We start from the raw sequence: 10,049 nt of genomic DNA, 5'->3' as shown, positions 1-10,049 counted from the left end.
CGTAAGCCACCATGCCCAGCCTCTGTGATTAAAGTCAAAATGTGGGAATTATTTTCATGCACATTGTAGATATAGACACTAAATGTAATTCCATCTCCCGAACCCTCTATCCGCCTTTTTTTGTTGCTGTTGTTGGAGTCCAAATGCCTAAAAATTGTGCAGAGCTTAATGCCTCATATAGGTTTCTTTCTCCTCGGTCTTTCTTTCTTTCTTCTTCTTCTTTTTTTGTTTTTAACTTTTATTTTTAGTTCAGGAGTACATGTGAAGGTTTGTTCCATAGGTAAACTTGTGTCATGGGGGTTTGTCGTTCAGATTATTTCATCATCCAGGTGTTAAACCTAGTACCCATTAGTTATTTTTCCTGAGTCTTCCTCCTCCCACCCTCCACCCTTTGATAGGCCCCAGTGTGTGTTGTTCCCCTCTATGTATTCTCATCGTTTAGCTCCCGCTTCTAAGTGAGAACATGCAGTATTTGGTTTTCTGTTCCTGTGTTAGTTTGCTAAGGACAGTGGTCTCCAGCTCCATCTATGTCCCCACAAAGGATGTGAGCTCGTTCTTTCTTAATGGCTGCACAGTATTCCATGGTGTATATATAACACTTTTTTTTTTTAATCCAGTCTATCATTGGTAGGCATTTAGGTTGGGTCTTTATATCTTGTCTCATATATATTTTTCATTTTTCTCACTTTGTCTGTTAATTGCACTTTCCAATTTTGTTATGTTATGTGCATTTTTGGAAGCTGCCTCAAGAACATCCTGGAACGAATAAAAATGCTTGTGTAGCAGGACATTCTGGCTGACTGATCTGGAGGTCGAGATGCTTTGACTGTGGACAATACTTCCCTCTCCTCTGCCTGCTTGCATGCTCTGAGGCTTTTATTTTTAATGGAAACAGGGAGATAAAGGGAATGGAATAGGATCCGCTTTCTATTTGGCTCTCTGTGCTGGGTTTGAGGTCCTATGATTAGAGGGACAGACTGACAGCTGTTTTTCAGGGGACACTTGGTGACATCCTAAGCAAGGCATGATGGCCAGGAGTTCACATTGCCCTAGAGACAAGCAGAGTGGCTTCAAGGTCTGGGTGGCAATTGATGGCCAAACTCTGACTCCAGGTCTCTGCAGGGAAGTTGCTGCTTGTCATTTTCAGGTAGCTCAACAGACTGGAAGCTTTGCGGGGATCTGGAATAATCTGCTTTTTAGAAGCAGCAATGAAGCTTCCCTCAGCTTCTTTGTGAACGAATGTGTGCCAAGCAGACTGGAAAGTGCTCTGTGAACTCTGATTGCTAAATGCAGGTGGGTACATCACAGAGACCCGTTGTGTTGACCAGAGACCACTTTGAGGGGGCTCATTCCTGCAAACCATCCAGATAAATGGGGGCACATGTCACCATCATTTTTGTATGAGAGAAAGTAGGAATGGTTTGTCAAGATCTGCCAAAATTAAAAACACGCAACAATTCCACTTCTTGGAATCCATCCTATGGAAATATTCATATATGTGCAGAATAATATATGTTCAAGGTGTTCATTGCAGTATGTTTTGTGATAGAGAAAATGTGGGATAACCTAAATATTCATCAACTAGGGAGTGGCTAAATTATGGTATATCCGTACTACTGGGCGCCATGTAGCTGTTAAAAAGATAAGATAAATTGATAAGTGGCAACATGGAAATATCTCCCAAACACACCAACTTTACATAAACTATGTGTGTGCATCTATATACGTGTGTGTATCTATCTATCTATCTGTCTGTCTATCTACCTATCTATCTATCTATATTTGACTCTTGAACAATACAGATGTGAACTGCTTCAAAACCCCTGTGTAGATGAAGGGTTACTTTTCCTGTCCTTGAGTTCTGCAAGGTTGACTGCAGGTCTCGGGTAGGCACAGATTTTGGTACACCTGGGGGTCCTGGAACCAGTCCCCTGTGTATACCGAGGGATGGCTGTGTATAGTTCATATATATATATATATAGTTATAGTTTATAGTCTATATATACTCTATATAACTACATATATACTATGTACTATATGTAACTATATATTTATATATTTAATATATACATTTATATATTTACATGTGTTTACATATAGTACATGTTCATTTATATATTTACTAAATATATAAATATAGTATATATTTAGTACTAAATATGTACTATATGTAACTATAAATATTTATGTATACTAAATATACTAAATATGTATTTAGTAAATTTAGTATATACTGAATATATATTTAGTAAATTTAGTATATACTAAATACAGTATCTATAGTATATATAGTATTATATATAGTATATCGTATATACACACATATATAGTATATATTATATATACACATACTATCTATACATATATAGTATATTTAGTGCCAAATATATATTATATGTAATTATATCAATATTTATATATTATTATATATAAATATATATGGTATATATAGTATTTATGTATACTAGATATGTAAATACTTAGTATATATAGTATATTTAGTACTAAATATGTACTATATGTAACTATAGTTACATACATATAGTACATATTTAGTTTTAGTCCTAAATGTTTAGTACGTTAAATATTAAGTGTATAAAACTATATATAGTATATATACATATTTAATATATAGTTAATGGAATATAATATGAAATATAAATTTTCCATATTTTATATGGTTATATATAACTGTATATATACATAACTACATACATATACATGCAGTTGTGTATTTATATAGTGTGTGTGTGTGTGTGTGTGTGTGTGTGTGTGTGACATTGTGTATGTACAATCAATATCCCCCTCCCCACGGGAAGGCATCTGGGTTTGTAGACTGGCTGGTGACTAACGGATTATGGAAAGTTGTTGCCTGTGGTCAGGGTCGTGCTCAAAATGTTTGAGCACCGGGAGGGCATGAGCACAGATTCACCAGAGTGGATGCTGGAGCGGGCCCCGCAGGCCCTTGCTCGGCCAGGTGTTAAGCCTGGATAATGAGAGTGAGGGGCATGTGAGGTAGCAGGGGAGGTTGCTGAGCGACTGGCGTGGGAGAGTGTCCCTGTTTTGAACAACTGGTGTGGCCGTACTGAAAGCCCTAGTGAAATATCCGTCTTGCCGTTGGCAGTCTTATTTTAAAATTCTAATAAGAAAGTGGTGGGCTGTCTACACCCTGATTTGCAAGTGGCAAATTGGGAAGTGGGCTCCATAAATAGAAGGCCTTTGGGAGTTTATCCTGAACCTTGGACTTCCTGCTCCAGGGGTTGGATCCCAGACCCGGGTCCGACAGTGCCAACCAGTTCTGTTGTATCGTAATCTTGAAGGGAACTAACCCATTTCGGCAGAAAACTTGGTATAATTAGCGGTTAATAAGCAGGGCCCAGGTTCCCCACGGCCCAAATAGTTTCTGTATTGATCTCCGCCTGTGCACTGTCAGCACTCTGGAAGGATTGAACTTTAAGTGCTTAATTCAGCCCCATTCAACCGATAATTTTGGTTTTGTCCTTCAAACAAAAGCACCCTTGTTTATTCTTTTTTTCCACCCACAAATAATAAAGTCAATCCATTTCTCTCCCTTCTCCCGCCCAAAGCTAGTCTGCCCCTGTAATCAATACATCTGGAAATGTCAATGTATTCCTGAGTGAGGAGCTGGGGGTGCGTGAGGACGGGAAAGGGGGGCTTGATGGGGAAGGTGGCTCCAGAATCTCCTGGAAAACAGATGGCTGCTTAAATGCTATCACGGCAAATTCCCGCCTACGTCAAGTCTCTGAGCTTCCGCACCTGGGCACATGGTGTTGCACACGGCCTTTCAGGTGTGGTTGACAGAAATACACATCGAACACTTACACGTTTGCATCACAACCTCAAAACCAAACTGCTAAGCTTTCAGCTTTTTCGAAGTTATCAAGCAAACTGCATGGCAGTCATGCTCATTCTAACCTCGTCCCAGGTCACACTCCCTGAGCCTCACCTTATCCATGAGGCTAGAGTTGTGTGGGTGGGAGACATGGATGGAGACAGACTCAGAGCTAGTCTATTAGGTAAGCTGGAGCCAAGCGATACTGACATGCCTGAATCTCAGCCAGTCAGCAGACTAGTTACCCGGTTTAAGACATTAATACTATTCCTGAAGCATACAGGTCTGGGTAAGTGTTTGGAGAAAGAGACAATATCACTGAGTACCTACTATGTGTCAATTTAATTTTGTTTTTTTAAACTTTATTTTTTTTATGAGACAGTTTCATGATGTTGCTCAGGCAGGATTCAAACTCCTGGGCTCAGGCAATCCTCCTGCCTTAGCCTCCAGAGTAGCTGGGACTACAAGTGCATGCCACTGCTCCTGGTTCAATACTTTTGTAAATAGTCTTTTTAAATTACCACAACAAGTCTTTTCTTATTCCAGAGATGAGGAAACAAATAGAGATTAAGTGAATTGCCTTCAGGTCACATAGATGATAAATGACAGAGCCAGTTTAGGAACTGTGCCTTTCTGAATCCCAAACCCATTGTGTGTGTGTGTGTGTGTGTGTGTGTGTGTGTGTGTGTGTGTGTGTTTGTTTGTGAGAGAGAGAGAGAAAGAGAGATCTGTGCTTCATTTACCCCATCCAAAAAACAAGAGAGCAAAAATAATACTTCTTCCTGGGGTGGTTAAAAGGATTAAATGAGCTATGCCTATAAAATGTTTAGTCATATTTAGCACTTAAAATAGTTGATATTGTTATTATCGTTATAATTATCCCCATGGTATGCATTAAACAGTCATTTTCAGAAATTTCTGGCTTTAGCACAGTTGCCAAAACTTTATTTTTTCTTGATTTTTATCCTTAAAACCTGCATGGCATTGAAAATAAATAAGACAGGATCTCTCTATTCTCAAAGGAGTGACCATCTGGTTATGCGGAGGAGGGACAGAGAAAGAGGGAAAGAACAAGTTACAATAGACTGTGTCATATTTATTATAGTGGGAATATATTGGAACAGAGAGGAAAGTAGTAGCCTTATACAGCCTGGGAAGGGGGCTCAGTAATGGCCCATGGGGGGATTTGAACCTATGAAAGATGAGGATAAAGTATAGGATCAGCAGTCAAGGAATGGAGAGGGGGTTGGAGCAGAAGGAACAGCACCTGCAAAGGCGTGGAGGTTTGAAAGCACCTGGACCATTTGGGGATGTTGCAATTAGGCTGAGGAATCTAAAGTGAAGGGGGCTTGTTGAGAAATGGCTGGGCGGGGGCCAGGGCTCAGTTATGGTAGGATTTCCCAGCTGAGGAGCAGAGACTATATCCTGGAGGTTTTGTGAATTCTTGAAGGTTTTTAAGCAGAAAAGGGGCAGATTCAGGATTGTGTTTCAGAAAATGGCTTTTCGGCAGGGACTCTACTAGGGAAGAGTGAAAGTAATAAGACCGCCTTGAAGACTGCTGGAGGATTTAGAGGAGACACCATGAGCCCTGAGGATGAGTAGAAATCAGTCATGAATGGAGAAAAAGCTCTGTTTATAAAGATGGAAGAGCTTCTTATTTTTATTTTTTTTTCAAATCTAGAACCCACAAATAAGAGTTGGGGACTGACTGGATATGAGAGTGAGGGAGGGAAAGTCTCAAATGATTTCAGTTTGGGTTGGTCAGTGGAGCCTGTAACCAAGAAAGGAGACAGGGGAGAAGCATGTTTTAAGATGAAGTTGGAAACCAAGTGTTTTAGTTCTGGCTGCTTTAACAAAATACCATGGATCAAATGGCTTAAACAGCAAGCATTTATTTCTCACAGTTCTAGAGACTGGGAAGTCTGAGATCATGGTGCCTGCTGATTCGGTTCTTGGGGAGGGGCTCTTCCTGGATTGCAGATGATAGTTTTCTCCTGTGTCCTCACTTGGTCAAGAGAGAGTGAGCAAGCTGTCTAGTGCCTTCTTACAAGGGTACTAATCCCGTCATAAGGATCATCCTGATGGCCTAATCTTAAACCTGTGTACCTCCCAAAAGCCCCGTCTCCAAATACCATCACATTCTCCAATGTGTTAGTGCTTCAACATATGAATTTTTAGAGATACAGTTTAGCCCATGGCATCAAGCTTTGGACAGTTTGAGTTTCCAGTATCTTGGCCACCAAAGTGGAGATGAGCTGGATATGCAGTGCCCAGCTCTGTGTACAGAGCACAGTAATTGGTGATCAATAGATGATTAATACGTATTTATTGAGGGAATGATTCGATGGCTAAAACCATGATGTGGATGAGATTTTCCAGGCTCATCCTGATTATATTTCTAGAAGGAACATAAGCGGGGTGCAGTGCAGATAGTCTTGGGAGAACATTAACTATCCCAAGGGACTCCCCAATAAGGACTTAAGAGAAGCTTAAAATTCAGAAATTACAAGCGCACGGATCAAGAGAAGATTCAGAGTATGGTGAATAGTCATTTTCAGTACTGATGTTGACCTATAAAATTTATAGACTAGCTAACTTTTTTCCTTTTTAGAATAAATAACCAACATTTATTGAGTACTTGCTGTGTGCTGAGCCCCATGTCGAAGGCTTTACCTGTAATTTCTTCACTTCACAGCCACAACCTAATGAAAGGAAGACACTATGTTTGTATTTCCCTTCTAGAGATGAAGAAACCGAGGCTTAGAGATATCACTAATTGCTCAAGGTTTTGCAGCTGTTGTGCTGTGGATCTGGGATTCAAACCCAGGTCCGGTTGACTTTTGAGCTAAGACTATCGCTCTTTTGCCTCCTGAATTTCTAGTCATTTAAAAATCAAGGCTGAGGCTATCAAGCTGCGCAAAAGCTGTTTTGGCTTATAAGACAATCAGGTTGGGAGACTGAGACTACTTGGGAGGAAAAAGGGGGAAATACAAGTTGCAAGTGTGCAAGTTGCTACACTGGCCCTGTGTATCTTTGAGTTTTTGCAGGTACTCTATTCACCATCTGTCTCTCCTCATCTCTTGTGAAATGGAGTTGGTGGCCTTTAAAAAGCTGCCAGCTTTGAGAAAGGGGGGCTCAGTTTCCCAATCTTGGCCCAGAGGACTTCTCTCCATCTGGATGAGCATTGAGATCAAGGGTGAGCTAGTCCCAAGGTTAATTGGATGAACCGATCTTTTCTTTTGTTGGCTTGTGGAGGTCAATTAGTAATGTGGATGATTGGATTCAGTTAAATGCCTTCAATGAACTAGGTCTATAGGGGACAGTGATTGGTTCCCAAATGGGGTGAGGGACCCATTTGGACTAAACGTTTCACCTTGCCCTGGCTTTGGTGGCTTCAAAACCAAATGAATGGCCCTTTAAGCCATTAAGCAGTCGCAAAGAAGCAGGTCTACCAGCACTCCTGTTCATTGGTTTGTTTTTATTTATTTGAGCATTTTATTTTTATTTATTTATTTATTTATTTTTGAGATGGAGAAAGACTCCGTCTCAAAAAAAAAAAACAACAACAAAATAAAAAAAAACCCACAAAGAAGGCATTCCCTGTTGCTAAAATATAAAATTATTTATTTATTTGTATTTTTTTATTTGAGCATTTTATTCATTTGAGCAGTTTATTTTCCCCAGTTTCATCCCTTGTAGTGGAAAAAGCACAGTCTAGAGTCAGGAAGACATAGCTATGACTTCTAACCCTGTCTTTTGCTATATGCATGAAGTTGGGCAATGATATTAGTGTTTCTGAGCCTTAATTTCCTTGCCTGAAAAATGGGGCCTCCGGGCACAGTGACTCACGCCTGTAATCTTAGCACTTTGGGAGGCCGAGGCGGGAGGACCGCTTGAGCCCAGGAGTTCGAGAGCAGACTGGGCAACATGGTGAAACCCTGTCCCTACAAAAAATACAAAGATTAGCCGGGTGTGGTGGCATGGACCTGTCATCCCAGCTACTCGGGAGGCTGAGAGGTGGGAGGACGGCTTGAGCCTGGGAGGTTGAGGCTGCAGTGAGTTGTGATTGCACTACTACATTCCAGCCTGGGCAATTAAAAATAAAATGGAGCCGATAGAATTTACCTTGCCGTAGTGCTTATTGTGGATATGAAATGGAATAACATTAATATTTAAGGTGTTTATTGCTGGGCCTGGTACTAAGAATGTGAATCTCTTTTCCTGTAGAGAATGGAGGCTGTACCCTCTAGATAATTTGTAGCTGGTTTGTAGCTGGTTGTTTATTTCATTGCCCTAGTGATCTGGTATTTTCAGACAAATAAGATCTGATATTGAAATGATGCCCATATTGTGTCTCTGTGTTCTAAAAGTAATCGGAAGTTGTCCCAGGAATTCAGGTGTTATAACTACTTGCAAACCATTGCATCTTAACTGAGTCCAAGCAAATTTCACTAGAGCTCCATACATGTACTTCCATATTCTTTATGATACAGAATCACATGCGCTGGGTCCTGGTTTTGATCTCAACCTCATTTCCCTGAAAACAAACAAACAAACAAACAAACCATAAGCAGTACAAAATGAGTACTGATGAGAGTGACATTCACAGCCACACCTTGATCCTGCAGTTGAGGAAATACAGTCGTTACAGGAGCTTATGCTGAGTCTTCTGTGAGTCTCAGATATTTTGGATGCTGGCGACTTCTCACAGGTTGATGTCCAAGCCACTGCAAGGCTCATGTAATGGGCAGCTCCAAGACTGAAGTAAGAACAAGTTGCAGTAAGATAGTATGGGAAGAGTAGGTTGCCCTTTCAGCATGAACCCTTCAGGATGTTTTGCTAGGAATTTGCAATGCCAGAATAAAAGGTGTAGAAGGAGTATATAGAAATAAGACATGCCCTAGGCCCGGCACGGTGGCTCAAACCTGTAATCCCAGCACTTTGGGAGACCGAGGCAGGCAGATCATGATGTCAGGAGATCGAGACCATCCTGGCTAACACAGTGAAACCCCATCTCTACTAAAAATACAAAAAATTAGCCAGGAGTGGTGGCGGGCACCTGTAATCGCAGCTACTCAGGAGGCTGAGGCAGGAGAATGGCTGAACCTGGGAGGCGGAGCTTGCAATGAGCCGAGATTGTACCACTGCACTCCAGCCTGGGCGACAGAGGAAGAGTCCGTCTCAAAAACAAACAAACAAACAAAAAAACAAACAACAGAAGAACAAACAACAAAATAAAAAAACCTCCACAAAGAAATAAGGCATTCCCTGTTGCTAAAATATAAAATTAAAATGTAATGGATCAGAGTAGAGAAATGCAGGGTTGCTCTAACAACAACAACAAAAACGATGCGTAGTGATAAATGCGTACTATGTGTCAGATGTTTTTCTTGGCTGGAGAATTCATCTAAGTTTCAGAATATATTCTAATGAAGGGGGGATAGACAATAAAAAAGTGTATATGATTTTGTATATTAGGAAATGATAATTGCCAATGTGAAAATACAGGAAGGAAAGAGAATAGAGAGTGTGAGGAGTGGAGTGGATGCCATAATTTCAAGTAGGTAATTATGGAAGGTTTCAATGAGTAAATATAATAGCACTTGAACAAGACATTCTCTCATTTTCTGAGAAGTGTTCTAGGAAGAGAGAACCCCAAAGTACCTAGGCACTAAGGTATGAGCATTCCTGGAATGATCAAATAAGAACAAAAAGGGTCGGCCGGGCATGGTGGCTCACGCCTGTAATTCCAGCACTTTGGGAGGCCAAGGCGGGCGGATCACGAGGTCAGGAGATCGCGACCATCCTGGCTAACACGGTGAAACCCTGTCTCTACTAAAAAAATACAAAAAATTAGCCGGGCGTGGTGGCGGACACCTGTAGTCCCAGCTACTCGGGAGGCTGAGGCAGGAGAATGGCGTGAACCCGGGAGGCGGAACTTGCAGTGAGCCGAGATTGTGCCACTGCACTCCAGCCTGGGTAACAGAGTGACTCCGTCTCAAAGAAAAAAAAAAAAGAACAAAAAAGATCAATGCAGCAAATTCAGGCAATAATAGGGTGGTGGGAAATGAAGTCAGAGAGTTACAAGACAGATGGTTCCTGAGACAACCAACTTGAATTTATCCAATTGGAGAGTTTATTGTCATGCTCATCCTTCTTATGATTGTTTTCCTTGTTCTAACATCTTGCTGGGCAC

General features: G+C 40.9%; 2 annotated features.

The window, feature by feature from the left end:
- Positions 2,488-2,987: an enhancer, noted in NCBI's record as "H3K4me1 hESC enhancer chr16:18221085-18221584 (GRCh37/hg19 assembly coordinates)". NCBI's record gives its function as "activates a minimal SCP1, AML or CMV promoter by ChIP-STARR-seq in naive H9 embryonic stem cells {active_cell/tissue: H9 hESC(naive)}" and the evidence as "EXISTENCE:reporter gene assay evidence [ECO:0000049][PMID:30033119]".
- Positions 2,988-3,489: an enhancer, noted in NCBI's record as "H3K4me1 hESC enhancer chr16:18220583-18221084 (GRCh37/hg19 assembly coordinates)". NCBI's record gives its function as "activates a minimal SCP1, AML or CMV promoter by ChIP-STARR-seq in naive H9 embryonic stem cells {active_cell/tissue: H9 hESC(naive)}" and the evidence as "EXISTENCE:reporter gene assay evidence [ECO:0000049][PMID:30033119]".

Source organism: Homo sapiens, chromosome 16, assembly GCF_000001405.40.
Source record: "Homo sapiens chromosome 16, GRCh38.p14 Primary Assembly".
Classification (NCBI taxonomy): domain Eukaryota; kingdom Metazoa; phylum Chordata; class Mammalia; order Primates; family Hominidae; genus Homo; species Homo sapiens.
The sequence above is the reverse complement of the archived record's forward strand: the minus strand, read 5'-3'. Positions and strand labels throughout refer to the sequence as shown.